The following is a 25,321-nucleotide window of genomic DNA, read 5'->3' as shown; positions in this document are numbered from 1 at the left end:
CTATAAGTCTTAATATTTGATTTAATGGGCTTGTATCTCCTGCCTTAGGCTGGGTTTCCTAGACAAAGACCCTGAAATGAAGATTTGAGTGCAGTACGTTTATTGGGAGTAATCTTGGGAAGCAGGATTGGGAATAAGGAATCCCATTGAAAGTGCCAGAACTGGGCTTGCCCTTTAGAGTTGTCTCAAACTGAGGCAAGGGGCCAAGGCTTTTATCCATGTTGGCCACCTTTGTGTGCAGGCTGTCATCAGGGAGGGGGTGGAATCTTGGGAGAGGCAGCTGCCCTTGTCACAGGTGATCCCGTATGGAGGGACACACTGTGAGCCGCCAGCAGTCAATACTGCAGGCAGTTGGGGTTCTAAGCACAGCTGACTAGTAGAGATGAATGAGACTAGTTACATGGATTTAAGAATAATTATAAATTTTCAGTGTTTTTTTTTTTTTTTTTTTTTTTGAGACGGAGTCTCGCTCTGTCCCCCAGGCTGGAGTGCAGTGGCGCGATCTAGGCTCACCGCAGGCTCCGCCTCCCGAGTTCACGCCATTCTCCTGCCTCAGCCTCCCCAGTAGCTGCAACTACAGGCGCCCGCCAACACGCCCCGCTAATTTTTTGTATTTTTAGTAGAGACGGGGTTTCACCGTGTTAGCCAGGATGGTCTGTATCTCCTGACCTCGTGATCCGCCCGTCTCAGCCTCCCAAAATGCTGGGATTACAGGCGTGAGCCACCGAGCCCTGCCGATTTTCAGTGTTTTAATGAAGATATTATTTGCCTCAATAACTACTGACTTTTTGTTTTATTTTCGTTTAACCCAATTCCTTGGGTATTGTTTTTAAACATGCAATTTGAATAGAGATGACTTTGTCAGCAAATCCTCTTAAGTATGTTCCGACAAATGGTAACGTTAGATACTCTGTAGGCACCTTTCCTTTGAGGAATTAAGAGTTATCAATCTCTGTAAAAAGATTGTTCAAGACTGAATAGACAATGTGTACAAGTACTATGTAATAGCAATATTGAAGGTAATCAGAATTACTGGGTTAGAAGGACAGAATTAGGCATTTTTGACAAGAAAGCAGTAGAATTTTACACAAGAAAGGATAAGAACAATAAGAGAAAGGTTAAAAAAAGAAAAGAAAGAAGCAAGATAAGTGGGATTGCTAAAGTCTAATTGTGTAGGGAGTGGCATGACACATAGTCAAGGGCTGCTATAAATGTAACACAAATTTTTGAACGACATAAGCAAGGTTCATTAATATCATAAATCTAAAAAGCCAGTTAGGACTTTAGCCATCAGGGAGTGATAGCTGTAAGACAGATGAAAATATTTAAAGGATTCCTCCCAAAACATTCCTAGTAAGTCTCAGAGCAAGATTTTGTTTGAATAAGGACCAGCAAAACTCCACAGCTCATTACTATCAACAAACACAATTTTGTGTTAAGAGAAAATGGCTATAAGTTAAAGAGCATTTGTAAATTATAATAAAAAATACATGATAAGTTTAAAAACAGAAGCATCTGGGAGCATCGATGACAAGTTTGATAAACTCTGATGGAATAAACAAAATAGTAACTTACAGTAGCATTTAGAGTTATACATTTTAGACTATTAGGGCTGGAAATGGCCCCAGAGATCAACCAGTTCAACTCTGTTGGTTTTTTGGTTGAAGAGAGGGAGAAAACAGGTCTAGAGATGTTAGATGACTTACTTAAGGTCACTCAGCTAGCGGGAAAGCCTGGACAAGGAAACTGATCACAGTATATCTAGTGTAAGCTCAGTGCTTGTCACTGTGCACTGTATAAAAGCAAAAGTGTGTGCTACCTTTCCTGTCCTCGAGGAGCCTGAAATCAAGCTTGATCTTTGCCAGACAAACATATATATTCATCTCTGGGTATGTGTCTCAAAAATTGAAGGAATGGCAAATGTGGGTGTAGGACAGTTATGAAATTACCTGTAGCCTCTTTTTTTTTTTTTTTTTTTTTTTTTAGGCTTAATGTGTTTTCATAGTAAACTTACAGGAACAGCACAGAAGACAGACAACATTAAAAACATGTACTTGCATGTAGTACAACTCAGAAACATTTGGTGAATGGATTAAATCTACTGTATGATAAAAATGCTACAAACACCATTTAGTTGCAGTCAGTAGGAAATTTACTTGTTTTTTAAAGAATCCAAATGCTGGCATTGTCCAGAAAAACTTAACACGTTTATTTATAATTATTATAAAGTTGAACCACTGACACCTGTTCACTGAAACGTTTTGACTTGCATTAACGCTTTGTGTTTCCGCATAATATTAAAAATTCACATACGAATGAAAATGGAAAAACTGCCAATCCCTGATTTCTATTCCCTATTTTTCCACTCGCAATCATAAATTTAGGTACCTTCAGACCCCATGGGGCCGGGGGAGGGGGCGGGCGGGGAGAAATCTAACATTAAGAACTACCAATAATAACAGGAAGAAGATAATTTTTTTTTAGAATGAAATGTTTCCCATCATAGTGGATTTTTAAGCACGTTCTCCATGTGCTAGCATGTGTGCGGCATGCTAGCTGGATGTCTTTTGGCATAATTGTTACACGTTTGGCATGGATAGCACACAGGTGGGTGTCTTCAAAAAGGCCAACCAGTTAGGCCTTAATTGCCTCCTGTAAAGCACCAATAGCTGCACTCTGGAAGCACAGATCTGTTTTAAAATCCTGAGCAATTTCTCACACCAGACGCTGGAAGGGAAGTTTGCGAATCGTGCCTCACTACGAGGCCTGTAACAATGAAGCTTATTCGCCCGTCCAGTAGAGGGCGCACTCTTGCAAAAGGCTTTTGTAGCCAGTTGCTTCCCGGGTGCTTTACCACCCGTGGATTTGCGTGCAGTCCGCTTTGCAGGCACCACGGTATGAAGACCTCCTTGCTTAACCCCCTTCTTCGGCTGGAGCTCAGCCAAGCGAGAGGCGGCGCTAGCATTAGAGGGCGACGGCGGCCCGGCGGCGTCATCTGTAGTGAGTGTAGAAAGTGTTATTTACAAACTCTGAACTGGGCACAGGAATAAAATTTGATTACCCCAAAAGTTTTGGGAATTGATGGGTATACTTGGAATTTTGAATGTTTAAATATGTTTTTTCCTTTCTTTCTGGATTCTCAGAACTCAGAATCCACCCAAAACCAGTCTCCCAAATTGGAATTTTCAATGTGGCTCTTGCTTGAGAAACATAATGCCTTAGAGCTATCTTAATGCTTGTTCATGGTCAGTGAATTTTTTAAGTGAGAATGTGGGAGGAAGTATCATCTAGAAATATACCTGAGGAAAGAGAAGAGGTCTTTGGTTTGTGAAAGAAAAAAGTCAGTACTTTATTTGAATTTCTTGCATATGAGAAAATATTAAGTGCTTTGAAAATCTGTTTTTTAAAGTTTATTCATTCATTTATTTATAAATATTTATTAAGGCAGACATTTTTCTAGATGTCAAGAACACAGCAGTGAACCAAACAGATATCAGTATCTTCCCTCAGTGGGCTTATATTCCAGTTGGGGTGAGAGACACAATAAACAAATAAAGAAGTTAAACATATAGTATGTCGGATGGTAACAAGTGCTATGTAGTGAAGGGGATCAGGGCTTTGGAGCAGAGATTGCTATTTAAAATTGTGCATGAGGGCAGTTCATCTTCACGAGAAGATGACATTTAAAGACAACTAAAAGAGGTGGGGAGGCAAGCTGTGTAGCTCTCTGGGGGAGACAGCGTCGCTGGAGGAAGAGTGCTGCCGGCAGAGGAACAGCAAGTTCAAAGCTCCGAACGGAGCATGCTTCAAGTGTTTGAAGGGGCCAGTGCAGGCGGTGCAGAATGAGCAGGAGATAACATCAGAGGAAAATGAAGCATCATATTATGTAGGACCTTGAAAGTTATGTAAGGACTCTGGCTTTCACTTTTTTTTTCTTTCTTTTTTTTTTTTCTTGAGACAGAATTTCACTCTTGTCGCCCAGGCTGAAGTGCAGTGGTGCAATCTCGGTTCACTGCAACCTCCGCCTCCTGGGTTAAAGCGATTCTCCTGCCTCAGCCTCCTGAGTTGGCTTTTACTTTGATTGAGATAGTAAATCGTTGGAGTTTTGATCTAAAAAAAATCACTGGAGAGGAATGATGTGGGCTGATCTTTATATGAAAAAGAATACTGTGGGCTGCTGTGTTGACAATATCCTGTCCCGGTCTGGGTCAGAAACAGGAGACCAGCTCGGAGGCTACTACAGTAAGATAAGAGCTAACAGTGGCTTGAAGCCAGCTGGTAGCAATTGAGATGGCGAGAAGCTGTCAGAGACCTGGACATACTCTGTAAATAGAGCTGACCTGTTTTGTTAATGGATTAGATGAGAGAAGTGAGAAAGGGAGAGGAGCCCAGGATGGTTCTAAGATTTTTGTCTTGAACAATTGTAAGATTGGAGTTGCCGCTTGCTGAGATGGGGGCACTGGGAGGAGCAGTTTGGGAAGGTGGAAGGCTAGAAATGTGGTTTGCAAATTTGGCTTTGCTTTGTCTTGCACTCAACAATGTTGAAAACCAAATTTCTCTTGCCTTGCTTTGCGATTAAAAGTAATTGCAAGAACCACAGTTACTTTTGCACCAACCTACCTAATATTTGTTCTTAGTGTGGCTTGCGATTTGCTGTGTGTGTGACTATGTGAAAAAACAACAATCTTAACAACTTGAAATAAACTAACTTCATATCAGAGGCTTTTATTTGTTATTTATTCTTTTCCATTTGATTTTTAAAGGGATATTTACTCTGGATATAAAATTCTGAGTTGACAGAATTCCCCCAACACCCCCCTGCCATGCTCATGAGTACTTTAAAGACATTTTCATTGTAGAAGCTTTTATTTTATTTTGTTTTTCTGGATAGTGCAATAAAAGATTTGGGATTTACAATATTTAGTATTTACATTTAAAAGGAAAGATTTATATTTTATGCAAATCAAGGTCTTTTTTAAAAAAGCCCAGAATGTGGCCGGGTGCAGTGGCTCGCGCCTGTAATCCCAGCACTCTGGGAGGCCAAGGCAGGCGGATCACGAGGTCAGGAGATCGAGACCATCCTGGCTAACACAGTGAAACCCCGTCTCTACTAAAAAATACAAAAAAGTAGCTGGGCCTAGTGGCGGGCACCTGTAGTCCCAGCTACTCGGGAGGCTAGGCAGGAGAATGGCGTGAACCTGGGAGGCGGAGCTTGCAGTGAGCTGAGATCGCGCCACTGCACTCCAGCTTGGGCAACAAAGCGAGACATCCTCTCAAAAAAAAAAAAAAGAAAAGAAAAAAGAAAAGAAAGCCCAGAATGCCAGGAAAACTTTTAAAATGTACAGTTATTAATGGTAAGATAGAAAAAATAGAATCAGTCAAATGTCAAAGGGTTTAATGATAAATTAATTTTTATTGTATGATTTTAAAGTAAATCCCAGGTAGTAAATCTTTTCACTCCTAAATACTTCTGTGAAAATGTTTATGTCTGAAGAACATGTTTTATTCACTTATTTATCTAGCTACAGTTTTTAGTTGCTATCCATGTACTACCACTTAGAAGGCTTTATCTGTCTACAATGTAGGTAAAAGAGATTCTTAAAGCAACTCTTAAGAGTTGCTCTAAGTCAGGGGTCCCCTGACTCCCAGGCCACAGACTGGTATACCCACTCCTCTCCACCTTCCCTGCCCTGGCCATCATGCATGGAATAATTGTCTTCCACGAAACCAGTTCCTGGTGCCAAAAAGGTTGGGGACCACGGCTCTAAGTGACAGCAATAAAATTACATAAAAATTCTTCAGTGAGGTTACACTATACATATTAAAATAAAACATTTCCTCATTCAGTCTTCTGTGAAGTACTTGAGTTTTATAGGAATATTTGTGTAAATATAAGTTATATACATCTTTGAAAAAGTATGGCTTTTGCACAACTAATTGAAATGCAGCTCAGCCTATGTCTGCAAATGAACTGAACTGGGAGATTTAAAATATTTTAATATTCTGTTTAAGAAAGCAATAAATTTTAAGTGATCCAAAGAGAAGTTTCTAGATGAGAGATATTTTTAAAATATTTAAGTGGAAATGAATTTTTAGCTATTATACAACTTTGGAAAATTAAGAGATTACTAAAAAATATTTTGCCTAATAGATTGATTAGTATATATTTATCTTTCAGCTGCCTACACAGTTCAGTTGCGCAGATTATCATCACATTTTTAAGGCCTATAAGAGAAATTTGTTTTAGCCAAGAATATTCCAAAAGATATTGAAAGAAGGGCATTGATTTCAGCTATTCTCAGATACTTCAAACTGATCTTTGTGGTACATCAAGGATTTATTTTGGAAAGGACATCATAGGCTTGCAGGTCTGGAAGTGCCCATAAGGGTTCATCTAGTTCATCATGTCAGTCCAAGGATTATTAAAATTGCCAGATGCAAAACCAGCTATAATAGGCTGATTTTCCAACCTGTGAACTCTGGATAACTCTTCTAAAGGCAGAATCTCCTTTTCAAAGATATTAAAAATAGGGTTCTTCCTCATTTCACTTTTGCTGAGTCCCCAACAGTGGTGGTGTGTTTTAAAGGGTCTCCTCACAATACTTTAAACCCTTAAAAGAGTTTAGAACTTAAACTTCAAATAATCTTCTCTTTGTCAAGGTCTTTTGGTGTTCTTCAAATAATAGTCCTTTGTTTAAAGAAAATCAGACTTAAACTTGTGCATTAAGTGATTAAAGTAAAAGCTCATTATTATGTTTTCCCTGTTACTTCACCTCTGATCTTTCAACTATGACCTCTGCTTTTGATCCATTTCCAAAGTATTAAAATATAACTATTATAAAGAACTAGCCTCTGTAATAGCACAATCACCAACATGTCCTTTGGCTATTTCCGATTATTCAGGCCTTGTTCTTCAGTTTTGAGACTACCTAGTATTTTTTTGGTTCACTTCGTATCAGTGATTACCCAACTTTCTCTCTCAAGGGACTCTTTCAGCGTCTAATTACTCTGAATGTTAAAATCATTAAAACATTAAAAACATTCTGATTTTTACAACTATGCTTATAAAAGAAAATAAGCAAAAAAAAGAAAAAACTGGGTAGAGGATAAGTGATTATTTCCAAAATATTCTTGAATATTGTTGCAATGTCAACAGTCACAAATAAGTATATATACATAAATCTACATAAAATACTACAATGGATTAAAAATAGCAAGCATGTTAAAATCTCAATGATTTTAAAAAGCATACTCATTAGTCACTCTTGATAACAAAGTTACTGTTCTGAAAACTGATCCAAAAAGATAAATAATGTTAAAAAATCTATTTCTCAAATTTGAGAAGTTTGAAAATGCTTTCTGTCAATTTCCACCAAATACCAAAAAAGCTCCTTTCCTTCATCCTCAGCATTCCACGTGTTTTATATATGCCACAATTGTAGTGTGCTGGGGTTCTAGGGTCTTATAAGATCAATTTTGGAACATTTAGGGACTTATTAATAAATATTATTATTAGTAATGTATTTCAATAAAACATTAGTGGTGCTACTTTTAAATGAAAACATGAAATTTTTTTTCAAAGGCTATGTATCTATGGATTAAAAAAAGTAGGGCCAAATGTGGAAGAGTAAGGATTTCATTGGTGTTTTCTTCCAGTGCTCACTAGACCCTCAAAAGGTCTTTTTCATTCCTTGAAGCCTGGTCCCATCTCAAAATATCTTAAAAACGCCTTAGCGTCTTATGGAGGAATGCATTTTAGCTTAAATTTGCAACAAACTCTTAGACATTAAATTACTAGAGCTTTGGACTATGCACTTCCATGGCACCAGGGCATTGCTATACATTTTTGTTTGTTTGTTTGTTTGTTTGTTTTTGTAAATGGGTGATGTTGACACCTCCTATTCCAAATCAAATCTACATTAGGATGATTCCTGATCCAGGACGTGTCTCTATCCTAATCTACCTAGCTGCCTATACTTCCTCTTACTGTTCTCCTTGCTGGTTTTGGCTCTTATCTCAGCAGGAATTCTATGGCAAACTTCTTCTAGAACACACTTCTTCTTTAAAAAGGAAAAGACAAGCTCCTACTCTACTTTTGCCCTTCCTTGACTGTAAACACATTCACTTACATTCAACAAGCATATGCATTTAAAATATTTATGTCTGCAAACTTTCAGATGTAGCTAAAATACTCCTGTCTTCAAGGAGTCTTCATCTATCCTTACATGGAGTTAACTGCTCCATTCTCTTGTACAGTCGTGGAACTTGATTTATAACTGTATTACAGCATTTACTGTGCTCTTTAGTCACTTATTCACTTTATGGTATAGATCTCATTGGATGTGAGCTGTTCAAGAGCAGAGGTCGTGTCTTATTTATCTTTCTCTTTAGCATAGTCCTGACCCCTTGGTAAATATTCAATAAACATTTGTCGAAAGAATAAAAGAATTAATGAATGGATAAATAAATAAATGGCCTTGTATGCTTTGGTTGCCTCTCTGCCAAATAATTTCTTACTTGTTGTTATGGCATTTTTGTGTGCTTGTTTTCATGGATACTATGCTTTTACATTTATTACGTAAAAATTTGGTCTTTAAATAAGTAGCCCTAATTCTTAATTTCCCTTTAAATTCTACTTAAATAACCCATGCTTTAGTAAAGCACTATAGGAACTAATTTTATGTTTGTCTACACTAGAAAATCCTGACTGAATTGCCACAAAAAGGCAAAAATTAGGGTTGGTCAAGGAAATGACCAAATCATTTAGTTTGTTTTATTAGAGCTTGCCGTCCACACAAACATTTGATTTCTAGTTTATTTGTAGTAGCTTTTTCCCCCTCTTAGTAAACATCTGGTAATCAGAAGGAAAGCAGCAATCTCGTAAGTAATATAAATGTGGAAATGTTTTCCACCAACTTGATAGGTGGGGAGTCTGGGGCCAAATGGTGATACTTATTTTTTGACAACCTCTACTTTATTCTGCCTTTCCTTCCCTACTGTCCTGGCTAGTCTTTCCTTAGCCCTCCTTTCCCCTCCCACTTCAAAGGATCTCATTTTGGTTTAGTGGATAGTGTGGGTTGGGAGGTCTAGTTCTGTGAGTCATAGTTTCCTCATCTTTAAAGAGAGATAATAGATCCAGATGCTTATGAAGATCAAATACATAATGCATAAGAAAATCCTCTGTGAACTCCATGAAACTACATAAATCTGAAGGACTGCTATTTTTAATTTATTAGAGGCATCACCTGTAGAGCCAGAATTCGGTAACTTCTATTTGTATCTTTCTGTGTTCTTATGACGGTAACTAATGCAATAATCTGGTCTTGTTGTAATAAGGATGTGTTTAGGGCATGCCCTTGGGGCATTTTAGCAATAGCCACTTGAAGAGGGTGTCTCTTTCTCTGTTTTCTAACCCTGAAGAGCCAGGCTTACAGGCATGGAGGACAGTGGGGGTGACAATGACTGTGGAGCAGGGAAGGATAGGCAGTGAGGGCACATGGAGACACAGGTAGAAAGCCACAGAATACACCTACACCCTGAGATGGCTCTATGGTCAAAGTACCAAGGCAGTAATTAGACAGTTTTCTTTTAAACAAAATTAATGTATACAGATTAAAATGGAAATTTATGTTGTAAAACAGCCATTTAAAAGGTTTAAATTATTAGGTTAGAAAAACATCTCAAATTAAAATAAGCTTTGTTCATAGAATTCCTAACCTTACAATTGAAAGGAGATGCCTTCAGTTGTAAGTAGGTAAGTTGAAAGTAGATTACTTTTCAAGACTATTCATGGAAAGCCAAGGGTGAAATCTAACATCCTAAGTGGGTTGCCTACTAGAATATATACTGTGCTGTCTTCACTTTTAGGTGAGAAACTATATGATTAAAGAAAGATGTTAAAGAGACACATGATGCACACATGTGTGTACACACTGCACACATACGTACTCACATATATAAGGCACTTGTTAAGAGATATGGGAATGATTGAAATTTTATGTTAATTAAGCTCAACTTTTATGTTCTTCCAGATGATCTTAATTATTTGTGTACTATAAAATTAATAATATTTCTATTGTCAATTTTAAAACAAATATTTTGGAAGAAACTAATTTGGGGAGATTGCAGAATATCATGGAAAATATATTCCTTAAACTTCAGTACACTAGACAGTTCAAGAAAGGTGGAAAATAGCAAGATGATAAGAGTGATAAACACAAATAGAGAAGCAGAGAACCCCGATCCTTAATCTTTGCTATTTTGTCAAGAAATTGTTTCTTTATGTTTAGAAATGTCTTCTGGGCTAGTTCATGAATGTTGTAAGCATTAATATTTTCCAATACATTTATTTAGCTTTACTCTTCTCAAAAATGGGTGCTATATAAAGAATATTAGAAACAAATGGTTTGAATAAAAGGAAGTGGAAAAGTGGGAAGAATCACTTAAATAAATGTCCTGCCTCCTAGGTGAGGTCAGGGAAATTTTGCTTATTCCAGTGTCATTCTTTAATGTTATGGCACTGCAGTTCATTGCCTTTTTAAATCATTTTGCTTCTAGACTCTAACTCTCAAGTAATGAATGGTCAGTAATTATTCACCAGTTTATTAGTCACTTTTTATCCTTAGCATTTTGCTTGATGCATAGTAGGTGCTCCATTAATGAATTTTAAATGAATGAATAAATAATCTTTTATATACTTATACCAATTTTATGCACATTGTGTCAGTTTTTCTTACCTCACTTTGTATGTGTGATTATCATCCTACTTTTGAAATGGTAAAATTAATTTTGTGTTTCTTCCAAGGTATCCTGGTCTGAGATGGGAGTTCAGACTAAGATCAGTTCAAACTAAGCCCAGGGTAGATTATTGTTTAGTCTCAGAGGAGGCAGACACATCTGCTGGTGGCCATTTCAGCCTTCTTCTTCTCTCCCTCCCTACTTGAAATCCTGTCCCTTGCCTCCCATGACCTCTCTGATCTCACCTTCTACCAGTATCCCTCTTGCTCACTCCACTCCAGCTACGCTGGCCTCCCAGCTGTTACTAAAACACTCCAGGTATGCTCTGGATTAGGGTTTATGTAAGTTCCTTATATGGAAGCTGGGCAGATGGGCAGGAGATAGATCACAGAGGACTCTGAATGCCATACCAAGGAGTTTGAATTGGTGGTGTGCAGCCTATTGAAGGATTGTAAGCAGGAGAATGACAGAATCAGATCAATTGTATTTGCATTTTAGAAATATCACCCTGACTGTGATGTAGATGCTAGGGAGACTGACGGAGAAAGTGAAAGGCTGTTGAAATGGTCCAGGTAAGAGATGATGACAGCCAGAGCTAAGGCAAAAACAGTGGGAAGTCAAAGGAAGTGACAGTGACATATTAACTATCTGGAAGGCCCTAGAACTTTCAAAGTAGATGTTTGAACTTTTAATATTATTATTATTCTAATGAGCATGTGAATCTTGGTTCTATTTATCCAAATAGGTAAATAGGAGGAAGACATATTATTGCATTGAAGTGACTATGAAATTTCAGTAAGTAAAAACCCACTAAGTCATTGGATGCATAGGCCTGGATCTATAGATTTTGGTAGTCATTAATCCATAAAGGTAGTTGAAGCCATGGATGTAGGGTGAGATGTAGGCTGCTGAAGGAAGAACCCTACAGAATCACAACATGTTGGGAATAAAAAAAGAAGAGATATATGTGGTTAGAAAAAGAGAAGGCATAATCCAAGACGAAGAAGGAGAACCAGAGGGAATGGGTCTGTGAAAGCTAAGAGAGGAGAGAATGTCAAGGGCTCATACTTGTAGTATAGTTTGACGTTGGGTAGCGTGATGCCTCCAGCTTTGTTCTTTTTGCCTAGGATTGTTCTTGGCTAGGAAAGCAGCTACTGGATTTGACTTGTGGGAGTTCACTGGGGCCTTTAGGGAGAGTAGCATTGCTCTACTAACCCAAGTGTAAGGAAATTCTCAAGTCTTGCCTCAGTGACCTTGGGCTCTTTGAGGGAATGGAAGAACCCAGAGTGACTTGCATAGGATCACACAGCTGATTTGTGGCAGAGTTGAGCTGAAATCCCCTCTGCATTTCCTGTTTTGTTATTTGCCTTAGAACTAAATTGTTAGATATTTGAAAGGACTCAACAAACCAGGCCTAATAGATTTAGTAATAGGACATGTCCTTGTTTCCTTTCTTCCTCACTCCCACTCTGACCCGACCATGTTTGATTCATCTGTAAATTCTGTTGACTATTCCTCCAAAAAAATATCCTTTTAATCAGTTAACTTTCTCTACTTCCACCACCACAACTCAATTTTCTCTTGCCCATGTTATTGCAGTAGCCTCCTGACTTGTCTCAATGCTTCCACTATGCCCCTTCTATTGTCCATCTTCTCTTTCATGATCAGATCTTGTCACTATCTTGCTTAAACATTCCACAAGATTTCCCATAACACTTAGAATGAAACCCAATCTCTTGAAAAGCCCTACACGGTCCCAGGTACTGTAACTGTTGCCCACATTTTGGACCGTGCCACCTTCCACTTTCTGCCTCATTATTGTACCAGGTACTATCTTTCTTTCTATTTCTTAAACAAGGCAGTGCCTTTCTGCCTCGTGGCCTTTGCACTTCTGTGTCCTCTACCTGAGTGTTTTTTCCCCAGATTTTCATTTGGCCGCTCCTTTTCCTCATTCAGCTTTCAGATTAAATGCCATCTGCATAGAGAGGTCTTCCTTCTCATCCTAATCCCTCCATTTGGTCGTATTACCACAAAATCTGTAGCACTTATCACTTTTTGAAATTACATTGCTTATTTGTTTTTGTATTTTACTTTATTGTATTTATTTTTTTTTCCTTCAACTTTTATTTGAAGTTCAGGGGTACATGTGCCAGATGTGCAGGTTTATTACATAGGCAAATGTGTGCCATGGTGGTTTGCTGCACAGATCATCCCATCACTTAGGTATTAAGCCCAGCATCCATTAGCTATTCTTCCTGATGCTCTTCCTCTCCCAATGCCCCTTCCAAGAGGCCCCAGTGTGTGTTGTTCCCCATCATGTGTCCATGTGTTTTCATCCTTCAGCTATCACTTGTAAGTGAGAATGTGCAGTGTTTGATTTTCTGTTCCTGTGTTAGTTTGCTGAGGATAATGGCTTCCAACTTCTGACAATAGGAACATGTCCTATGTTCCTACAAAGGACATAATCTCATTCCTTTTAATGGCTGCATAGTATTCCATGGGTATATGTACCACATTTTCTTTATCCAGTCTATCATTGATAAGCATTTAGGTTGATTCCATGTCTTTGCTATTGTGAATAGTGCTGCAGTGAACACACATGTGCATGTATCTTTATGATAGAATGATTTATATGCCTTTAGGTATATACCTAGTAATGGGATTCCTGGGTCAAACGATATTTCTGCCTTTAGGTTTTTGAGGAATCACCACATTGTCTTCCACAGAACTAATTTACACTTCCACCAACAGTATAAAAGCGTTCCTTTTTCTCTGCAACCTTGTCAGCATCTGTTGTTTTTTGACTTTTTAGTAATAGTCATTCTGATTGGACTGAGATGGTATCTCATTGTGGTTTTGATTTGCATTTCTCTGATGATCAATGATGTCAAGCTTTTTCTTCTTATGTTTGTTGGCTGCATGTATGTCTTCTTTTGAGAAGTGTCCATTCATATTCTATGCCCACTTTTTAATGGGGTTATTTGTTTCTCTCTTGTAAATTTGTTTAAGTTACTTGTACATTCTGGATATTAGACATCTATTAGATGTCTATAATGTAGACATAATAGATTATGTAGACATAATTTGTCAGATGGATGGATTGCAAAAATTTTCTCCCATTCTATAGGTTGTCTACTCTGATGATAGTTTCTTTTGCTGTACATCTCTTTAGTTTAATTAGATACCATTTGTCAATTTTTGCTGCTGTTGCAATTGCTTTTGACATTGTCATCATGAAATCTTTGCCTGTGCCTGTGTCCTGAATGGTATCACCTAGATTTTCTTCTATGGTTTTTATAGTATTGGGTTTTACACTCAAGTCTTTAATCCATCTTGAGTTAATTTTTGTATAAGGTGTAAGGAACGGGTACAGTTTCAATTTTCTGCATATGGCTAGCCAGTTCTCCCAACCCTATTTATTAAATAGGGAATCTGTTCCCCATTGCTAGTTTTGGTCAGATTTGTTAAAGATCAGATTGTTGTAGGTGAGCAGTCTTATTTCTGAGTTCTCTATTCTCTTCCACTGGTCTGTGTGTCTGTTCTTGTAGCAGTACCATGCTGTTTTGGTTATTGTAGGCTTGTAGTAGTTTGAAGTTGGGTAGCATGATGCCTCCAGCTTTGTTCTTTTTTCTTAGGATTGTTTTTGGTTATTCAGGCTCTCTTTTGGTTCCATATGAATTTTAAAATAGTTTTTTCCAATTCTGTGAAGAATGTCAATCATAATTAATGGGAATAGTATTGAATCTATAAACTACTTTGGGTAGTATGGCTATTTTCATGATACTGATTCTTCCTATCTATGAGCATGGAATGTAGTTTCATTTGTTTGTGTCTCCTCTGACTTCTTTGAGCAGTGGTTTGTAGTTCTCCTTGAAGAGGTCCATCACTTTCCTTGTTAGTTGTATTCATAGGTATTTTATTCTTTTGCAGCAATTGTGAATGGGACTTCATTCATGATTTGGCTCTCTGCTTGCCTGTTGTTGGTGTATAGGAGTGCTAGAGGTTTTTGCACATTGATTTTGTATCCTGAGACTTTTCTGAAGTTGTGTATCAACTTAAGAAGCTTTTGGGCTGAGACAATGAGGTTTTCTATTTATAGGATCATGTCATCTGCAAAAAAGATAATTTGACTTCCTCTCTCCCTATTTGAATCCCTTTATTTCCATCTTTTGCCTGATTGCCCTGGCCAGAACTTCCAATACTACATTGAACAGGAGTGCTGAGAGAGGGCATCCTTGTCTTGTGCTAGTTTTCAAGGGGACTGCTTCCAGCTTTTGCCCATTCAGTATGATATTGGCTTGGTTTTGTCTTTTATTTTGAGGTACATTTCTTCAATACCTAGTTTATTGAGTTTTTAACATGAACGGATGTTGAATTTTATCAAATGCCTTTCCTGTGTCTATTGAGATTATCATGTGGTTTTTGTCTTTAGTTCTGTTTATGTGATGAATTACATTTATTGATTTGCTTATGTTGAACCAATCTTGCATCCCAGGGATAAAGCCAACTTGATCGTGGTGGATAAGCTTTTTGAGGTGCTGCTGGGTTTGGTTTGCCAGTAATTTATTGAGGATTTTTGCATCGATATTCCTCAAGGATATTGGCCTGAAGTTTTCTTTTGTTTTTGTATCTCTGCCAGGTTTTGCTATCAGGATGAGGCTGGCCTCTTAAAATGAGTTAGAGAGGAGTCCCTCTTTTTCAATTTTTTTTAGACTAGTTTCAGTGGAAATGGTACCCACTCTTCTTTGTACCTCTGGTAGAATTCAGCTGTGAATCTGTCTGGTCTTGGGCTTTTTTTGGTTGGTAGGCTATTTATTACTGCCTCAATTTCAGAACTTGTTATTGGTCTATTCAGGGATTCAATTTCTTCCTGGTTCAGTTTTAGGAGGGTGTATGTGTGCAGGAATTTATTCATTTCTTCTAAATTTTCTAGTTTATGTGCATAGAGGTGTTTATAGTATTCTCTGATGGCTGTTTGTATTTCTGTGGAGTCAGTGGTAATAACCCCTTATCATTTCTGATTGTGTTTGTTTGATTCTTCTCTGTTTTCTTATTAGTCTAGCTAGTGGTCTATTTTTTTTAATTTTTTAAAAAAACCAGCTCCTGGATTTGTTGAATTTTTTGAAGGGTTTTTCGTGTCTCTCTCTCTTTTAGTTCAGCTCTGATATTGGTTATTTCTTGTCTTCTGCTAGCTTGGGAGTTTGTTGGCTCTTGGTTCTCTAGCTCTTCCAGTTGAGATGTTCGGTTGTTAACTTGAGATCTTTCTAGCTTTCTGATGTGGGCATTTAGTACTATAAATTTCCCTCTTAACACTGCTTTATCTGTGTCCCTGAGATTCTGGTATGTTGTCTTTTTATTATCATTAGTTTCAAGGAACTTCTTTATTTCTGCCTTAATTTCATTATTTACCCAAGAGTCATTCAGGAACGGGTTGTTTAATTTCCATGTAGTTGTGTGGTTTTGTGCGAATTTCTTAATCTTGAATTTTAATTTGATTGTGCTGTGTGCTGTGGTCTGAGAGACTATTTGTTATGATTTCAGGTTTTTTTTTTGCATTTGCTGAGGAGTGTTTTACTTCAAATGATGTGATCAATTTTAAAGTAAGTGCCATATGGCTATGAGAAGAATATATATTCTGTTGTTTCTGGATGGAGAGTTCTGTAGATGTCTTTCATGTCCACTTGATCCAGAGCTGAGTTCAGGTCCTGAATATCTTTGTGAATTTTCTGTCTCAATGATCTAATATTGACAGAGGGGTGCTGAAGTCTCCCATCATTCTTGTGTAGGATTCTAAGTCTTTTTGTAGGTCTCTAAGAATTTGCTTTATGAATCTGCATGCTCCTGTATTGGGTACATATATATTTAGAGTAGTTAGATCTTCTTGTTGAATTGAACTCTTTATCATTATGTAATGCCCGTCTTGGTCTTTTTGATTTGTTCGTTTAAAGTCTGTTCTGTCAGAAACTATGATTGCAACTCTGGCTTTTTTCTGTTTTCCATTTGCTTGGCAAATTTTTCTCCATCCCTTTATTTCGAGCCTATGTGTGTCTTTGGATGTGAGATGGGTCTCTTGAAGACAGCATACTGATGGGTCTTGGCTCTTTATCAGATTTGCCATTCTGTATCTTCTGATTGTTGAATTTAGCCCATTTTACATTTAAGGTCAGTATTGTTATGGGTGAATTTGATCCTGTCATCATGATGCTAGCTGGTTATTTTGCAGACTTGTTTATGCGATTGCTTGTATTGTCACAGGTCTGGGTACTTCAATGTGTTTTTGTAGTGGCTGGTAGTGTTTTTTCCTCTCCATGTTTAGTGCTTCTTTCAGGAACTCTTGCAAGGCAGGCCTAGTGGTGACAAATTACCTCAGCATTTGCTTGCCTGAAAAGGATCTTACTTCTCCTTCACTTAAGAAGCTTACTTTGGCTGGATATGAAATTCTGTGCTGGAAGTTCTTTTCTTTAAGAATATTAGGGTGGGCAGTCCACCATGAGGTGAGCCACTGCCCATTCACAAAAAAAAAAAAGAAAAATGAATGTTGAGTATTGTCCCCCAGTCTCTTCTGACTTGTAGGGTTTCCACTGAGAAGTCGGCTATTAGTCTGAGGGACTTTCTTTTGTAGGTGAACTGACCCTTCTCTCTGGCTGTCCTTAACAATTTTTCATTCGTTTCAACCTTGGAGAATCTGATGATTATGTGTGTTGGGTTTGATCTTCTCATGGAGTGTCTTACTGGGGTTCTCTGCATTTCCTGAATTTGAATGTTGGCCTGTCTTGCTAGGTTGGAGAAGTTCTCCTGGATGGTATCATGATGTATGTTTTCCAACTTTGTTCGATTCTCCCCATCTCTTTCAGGTACCCCAATCAGTTTTAGGTTTGGTCTATTTACATAATCCCATATTTCTCGGAGGTTTTTTCATTCCTTTTCATTCCTTTTTCTCTATTCTTGTCTGCCTGTCTTATTTCAAAAAGATAGTCTTCAAGCTCTGAGATTCTTTCCTCTGCTTGTTCTATTCTGCTATTGATACTTGTGATTGCATTATGAAGTTCTCATGTTGTGTCTTTTGGCTCCATCAGGTTGGTTATATTCCTCTCTAAACTGGTTGTACTGGCTTTCAGCTCCTATATTGTTTTATCATGAGTCTTAGTTTCTTTGCATTGGGTTAAAATATGCTCCTTTAGCTCTACAAAGTTCATTATTACCCACCTCCTGAAGCCTACTGCTTCTTTCAGTTCAGTCATCTCAGCCTCAGCCTAGTTCTGTGCCCCTGCTGGAGAGGTGTTGTGGTCATGTGGAGGAGGAGAGACACTTTGGCTTTTTGAGTTTTCAGCGTTTTTGCATTGATTCTTTCTCATCTTTATGGGTTTATTTACCTTTGATATTTGAGGTTGCTGACCTTTGAATGGAGTTTCTGTGGGTTCTTTTTTGTTGATGTTGATGTTGTTGTTGGTTTCTGTTTGTTTTTCTTTTAACAGTCAGGCTACTCTTCCATAGGGCTGCTGTGGTTTGCTGGGAGTCTGTTCCAATCATAGTTGCCTCGGTTTTTCCCATTCCCAGAGGTACCACCAGTGAAGGCTGCAAGACAGCAAAGATGGCAGCCTTCTCTTTCCTCTGGAAGCTCTGTCCCAGGGGGCACTGACCTGTTGCCAGCCTGAACACACCTATAGGAGGTGGCTGGAGAGCCTTCCTGGGAGGTCTCACCTAGTCAGCAGGAATGAGATCAGGGACCCACCCAAAGAAGCCATCTTGGCTGCCCTTTGGTAGAGCAGGTGCACTGCATTGAAGGGACCCTTCTTCTTCCTGACCATTTGTATTCTCCAGAGGCAGAAGGCTGGAATGGCTGAGTCTACCAAACCACAGAGATGGTAGCTTCCACTCTCCCTGGGAGCTTTGTCCCAGGGAGAGATCAGAGCTCTGTCTGTAGAACCCTTGCTGGAGTGGCTGAAGCCACAGGGAGGTCTCGCCCAATGAGGAGGAATGGATTGGGGTCTCACTTAAAGAAGCAGTCTGGCTACGATCTGGCAAGGCAACTATGCTCTGCTGTGGGGGACCCTTTCTTGTCCAGACCACCCGTATTCTTCAAAGCTGACAGGCTGAAATGATTAAATCTACCAATCCACAGAGATGGCAGCTGCCCCTCCCCCTGGGGAACTCGATCCCAATTCCAGCAGACTTCAGCCTGCTGCTGTAGGCCGGCTGGAATTCTAAGCCAGTGGGTCTCAACCCACAAGCCACTGTGGAAGTGGGGCCCACAGAGTGATGCCATTTGGCTCCCTGGACTCAGCCTCCTTCCTAGGGACATGCATGGACATATCTCTTGCCTTGCCACAGAGCACAGGGCTGGAATATGCAAAATTTTGGGTTCTCTGTGTGTGCCTGGGTGGCCACTCTGCCAACTCCACATAACTCCATGTAACGGACCCAACGCCCTGGTGACATGGGCTCATGAGGTGATCTCCTGATCTGCAAGTTGCAAAGATCTGTGGGAGAAGTGAAGTTTCCTGTGTGGGGTCCCATAATCACTCACGCTTCTTTTGGCTGGGGGTGAGGGTTCCCTTGGCTCTGTGCCACTCCTGGGTGGGGCATCACCCAGCACTGCTTCTCTTTGCTCTCCTTGGGTTGAGCTGTTTGCCTCATCAGTCCCAATACGAGAACCCAGGTATCTCAGCTGAAGGTGCTGAATTCACTTGCTCCTTTCATTCCTCTCTGTAAGTGCTGAGGACCACAGCTGCTTCCAATCGGCTATCATCGTTTCTTCTCTGCTGCTTATTTGTTTCTTCATGTTAGTCTTGTTTGTGAGACCAGGGACCATATCTATCTTGTTCACCTTGGTATTCCCAGGGCCTAGAATCATACTTGGATTATAAAATAATAACCTACTTTTAAATTCTGTTTGCCCCTTTTGTGACACTGTTCTCTGTACCCTACAGATGATAACGCATTGAATCATATTATTGCTATGAGGTAGGCACAATTCAAACCTACATTTATGAATGAGAAAACCTAGGCACTGAGTTAAGTCATTAAGGCCCTTGCCTAAGCCAGTAAGTGACAATGCCAAACTTCAGCACCCATCAGAATCACCTGGGGACCTTGTTAACACAGAGGTTACTGGTCCCCCACCTTGGCATCTCTGTTTTGGTAGATCTAAGATGAGTTCCGAGAATTTTTACTTCTAACTAGTTCCCAAAAGATGCTGATGCTGCTGATCTAAGGACCACCCTTTGAGACCCAATGCAATAGAGTTCACAGAGTATTTTCCACATTAGTTGTATTAATACTCACATCCCCATAATCAATTATTATGCCCATTTTATAGATGAGGAAACTGAAGCTTGGAGAAGTTAATTAGCTTTCCCATGGCCAGAGTGGGAATGCGTAGAAAAGCTGCTTGGACCCAAGTCTCCTGGCTCTAAGTCAAGTTCTCTTAGCCTTGCCCTAAGAGGTCTTTATATGGTACTGAATTTTTCAGAATGCTGCTCCAGTAGATAAATTGTGAAGTCTTTGTGAATTTGGCAGATAAACAAAGCAACCTCCTGGGAACAAAAGAACTTACGTCTTCTGTTTCAACTTAATTGAGTGATGAAGATGGTTTCTAGATAAGCTGACATGATTGAAATTTATTTGTATTGTAATTTAGACATGCCATAAATGTGATCCAATAACCTTCCCTTGTTATTACCATATTTTAGTCATATGGTAGCATTGCAGGTGAGGTTTATCTAGTCATACTACTATTAAAGAACCTTTCTTGCAAAACGTAAGGAGAAATTCAGGAGTATTTATTGAAAATTTACAGTATCTTAATATTTATCACTTAATTTTCTAATTAACAAAACACTTGTTCTAAAAGCGTTTTTAAAAAACATCTAACAAATGAGACAATTTTCGCTAAAATTTCTAAAGAAGTTCTTGAATTTTTTTCTTAGCTAGCAATTCTATACACCATACACAATTTACAGTATCTTAATATTTATCACTTAATTTTCTAATTAACAAAACACTTGTTCTAACAGAGTTTTTTAAAAAACACCTAACAAATGAGACAATTTTCACTAAAATTTCTGAAGAAGTACTTGAGTTTTTTTTTCTTAGCTAGCAATTCTACACACCAGAGACTTAAAGCTACAAAACTTTGTTTTCTTTAGGTTCTTTCAGGCATTAATATTCTGATGCCATGTTCTTATGACAGAGACTAATAAGAAGAGAAAATGGCACACCCTGAATCTATTTTAGTGATGAAGATAGGAGTGGGAAATGGGAAAAACCTACCTTGTTCTCATTACTACCATGCTAAAACTGTCATCAATTATAATCACTCACTGTATTCCTAACATAAGACTGTTGGTAATTTCTCTTCAACACAAACTCAGTCTCCTTTAATTCAGTTTGTACATGAAATATATATGGAAATATATTGATAGTGCTTACATTGATGGCATTTTCTTCACTTACAAAAGCATGTGTTGAAAAGAAGTGATGTCAGTACATAATAGCAAAGTTTCTGTAAGGTGGTTATTTCTGTTTTATTTCCCATGATCTTATGGCAAAGTAGAAAATGTTTCAATCATTTACCTTGACCCATATTTTATAGTCATAGTTATCTATGCAGCACGTTTCTCTTGTGTTTGCCCAGTGTGCAAAGACATCAGTACTCTTCTCCCTACTTTTACCCACGGTCTTATGTCCACTTTTGTTCAGTATGACTTGACGAATTTGTTTCTTCTGTAGTTTACTAGCTTTTCTTCCCTTTATTCTCCCTCTCTTTCTTCTCCCTCTCTTTCTGTCTTTCTTTTTTCAACAAATAATTATTGGGTCCATGATATTCTAGATTCAGAAAGTAAGACACTTAGAGTCATGCTAGAGAAGAAAACATGAATGAATTAAAAAGTCCCATGGTTCAAGATGATATATTACACAATGAAGAAGCAAGAAAAAAGTCCACAAAGGTGCAATAAGCATTTGATTGGGGTAGAGATCCCTGCAGACTTGAGATTTTTAGGATGGCTGCATAAAAAACATTTCAGGTATCTGTTGCTGCATACTAACCACCCAAAATATAGTAACTTAAAACCATAAATACCTATTATTTGTCTTAATCCTACCATCTGGGTTGAGCTCAGCTGTCTTCTGCTTCACTGGTTGTCTGCTGGTGTTGGGATGGCCATGATGAATTCTTCAGTAGCATGTCTGGCATCTCCTCTAAATGGCCGGAACAGGTGGCAGCTGGCTGGGCTTCTCTCTCACCACAAAATCTCCTCAGTAGAGTAGCATTACCTCTGCATGGTAGCTCAAGGCTCCATGAGAGAGCATTTCAAGAGGGCATAAGCCACAGTGTGCAAGTACTTATCAAGATTTCACTTGTATTACCCTTGCTCATGTCCCATTGGCCAAAGCAAGTCAGTGTGGGAGGTATGATACTGGGGGGCATGGCTCACTGGGGGCCACCAATCCAAACAAAGCATTTTGAGGGCCTGACTGCATGTGGGGTATGAGGAAAGAAGTCACATATGGAGGATTTCGGCTTGGATGACTAGAAAACTTGTGGGATTATTCATTAGGAGAGAAAAAGTTACATGTGGGAGCTAATTTTAGATGTTAAGTTTGAGAAGATGAAAAGTTCTACTAAGCAGAGAAAATATATTGGAACATGAATGTAAGCTGAGGGCTGAAGTACTAAACTTTGGAGTCATGTGTAGAAAATAAATAGTTAAAGCCACGTGACTGAATGTGTTCTGAGAAAGACAGAAATTCTACCAACAAACTGAGCTATGTTTATAGTTAGAAGTTGGGAGGAGGAAGAGAGCCCAATTAGGAGACAAAGATACCACACATTCCTCATATTTTGTGATTCTGTTAGAATTTCTAAATTTCTAGGTGAATTTGGCTCTGATTTATCTGTGAGTAGGATTTAATTGAGAAATAATTCAGTTTTATTTTAGCAACTTCTACTGTGGAACACTTCTAGTGCCTTGAGTTACTGACTTTTAAATGTGTATTTATTAATAATAGCTAATATATTTGAGACTTTCTCATGGTTCTCAAAGGGTAGAATCATAGTATGAAAACTAAAGTTATGATATTGCTTGGCAGAATTAAGTTTTACTTTGTTTATTAATCTCTCTGCATGTTGTCCTGCTTCTGGAAACATCAATGAAATTGTACCAAAGCTTGGTTTCAATGATGAGTCGATTTTCTTCTTATGAAAAGGACTTAATGTTAAGGCTGGATCAACCCAAGCACAGGAAATTAAAAGTTAAGTGCAGAAATATTTTCTTGGTATCCACTAACAAAGTAAAGTCAGTTTTCAAAGGTAATTCATAGTTTTCTCTGAACCCATTGCACACATAAATGTGAACTGCTGATTGAGGAACTGCTTTCACAAATTCTTTGAGGAGGTGTCAGGAAGTTTTGTATTTAAAAACTTGTGTGAGCACTGTCTTGTTTCACTGAGCTACTCATGTAGGCCTTACATAGGTCCTCTAGTTACATGACCTGCCCAATTCAATGTGACACTCAGGCCCAAACTACTGTGGGCAGGCCATAAGGACCTTTTACACTTCAGCCAGAGAGGATAGGGTAAATCACAGAAACCATTTGGAATATATTATTTTTACTCAATCTTTTGCTTTTAGAGAAAAATGCGGAGGTTAAGAATTCAGTTCAAACTGAAATTAAATATGTCTTGAATTGTTCCATGGCATCACTGATTTTCCCTTTCTCTTTCACTTTTAAATCATTTTGTGACTATCGTATGGAAAACACCTATACATACTTGCTTATCTGAAAGAATATAATGGCCGTGCTATAAAATGTGGTTGTAATGTTATATGTACTGTTTAACAATTTTATTAAGTATGTTACTTGGTTCCCTCCACTTTAGAAAATTTTAAGGGTGATACAGGTATGTGTTATATAGGCAACGTCTTCATTAATGTACTACGTTGTGACTTAATAAAAAGAGACAAGGTTTATTGAGTGCCTGCTATGCCCTGAGTGCTTTACATGTAGGATTGTATTTGATCCTCACAACATCCTTATGAGTTAGGTATAAATAATAATCTGCAAATTATTATCCTTAATTTGCAGATTAGGAAACTGAGACCGAGAGACTTTATGTAACCTGTCCAAGGTAACATAGCTAGTAAGTAGCAGAGCAGGATTTAAACATGCATCTCTGAACTTACAGTCAGAACTTTTAACTACTGTCCAGGCACCAGAAGTTTTATGATATTTCTCTTCTTGTGTTCCAATTCCTTTATTTTCTACCTTTAAAAATCTTGACCTGCATAACTGAAGACGATTCGGCCAGTGGAGCACGGGATATTCACTATAATATTTCCTGGCTATTCTCTCACTATATGATAAGGGGCCACATCTGTAATCAGGTAGTCATTAGTAATAATGAATGCATAGCATGTCAGTACTGTTGTTTGAAGTGAATTTCACATTTTAGCTCATTTAATTCTCATAACATCCGTATGAAATAGGCATTATTATCTCCCTTTGCAGATGAGAAAACAGCACAGATAAGTTAAGTAACAAACCCAAGATCACTCAGCTGTTATATTAAGTAGCACAGTCATGGTTCAAATCCAGGCAGTTTAACTCCAGAGTTCATGTGTTTAACCACTCCGCCTACTGCCTCTTTAGTTTCAATTTGTTTTCTTCAAAGCTACATCTTCTTCACATAACAATTTTGATAACAAATTCAAAATTAGTTTAGTTTATATAAAGACTAAGATCTATTTCATTCCTCTCGCCTCAATTTCTTTTAAAAGTTTGGATGATTTATTTATTTTTTATTTTTATTTATTTATTTATTTACTTTTGAGATGGAGTCTCACTCTGTCACCCAGGCTGGAATGCAGTGGCGTGATCTTGGCTCACTGCAACCGCCGTTGCAATTCTCCTGCTTCAGGCTCCCTAGTAGCTGGGATTACAGGTGTGCACCACCATGCCCAGCTAATTTTTTTGTATTTTTAGTAGAGATGGGGTTTCACAATGTTGGCCAGGCCAGTCTTGAACTTCTGACCTCGAATGATCTGCTTGCCTTGGCCTCCCAAAGTGCTGGGATTACAGGCATGAGCCACTGTGTCTGGCCCTGCTTGGATGATTTAGATTGGGATGATGAAGTTATTCATTGTATTAAATAATTTTGTGCTTTCTCTTACCCCTCATGAAGTCCTTTTGCTTATTAGGTGCCTATTTATCAACTGTATACTGGGTAAAAATACGTGAGTTCTTACTTGCTGTAGACACAGAATATTTGAATTTAGCTTAAATATTGTTTACATAAAATCCACTCCTGATTCCATTTGAAACAATTCTAAAATTAGGATATTCCATGTATCTTCTTCCTTACAAGCATAGAAATATTGTTATCCCTTGATCTATGCATATCATTCTGTACTAGTGGGTTGCTGTAAGGACCAAAAGAAGCTTTCCTCATAAAACTTCTGTACTCACAAATGAGCTTATTGATGTCATATAGGCAGCTCTTTACACACACACACACACACACACACACACACACACACACTCCACTTAAAACTGGATTTTTAGAAAGCAAATAGTTTATTGA

At 38.3% G+C, this 25,321-nt stretch overlaps 1 long non-coding RNA gene and 1 pseudogene across 5 annotated transcripts in view; one reads left to right on the top strand and one right to left on the bottom strand.

The window, feature by feature from the left end:
• Positions 1-25,321, top strand: part of MIR9-2HG (MIR9-2 host gene) — a 152,776-nt gene that overhangs the window by 85,380 nt on the left and 42,075 nt on the right. The window lies entirely within an intron of this gene.
• Positions 2,345-2,991, bottom strand: H3P23 (H3 histone pseudogene 23; annotated as a pseudogene).

This window comes from Homo sapiens, chromosome 5, assembly GCF_000001405.40.
Source record: "Homo sapiens chromosome 5, GRCh38.p14 Primary Assembly".
Classification (NCBI taxonomy): Eukaryota; Metazoa; Chordata; class Mammalia; order Primates; family Hominidae; genus Homo; species Homo sapiens.
This window is presented reverse-complemented; position numbering and strand designations above follow the sequence as displayed.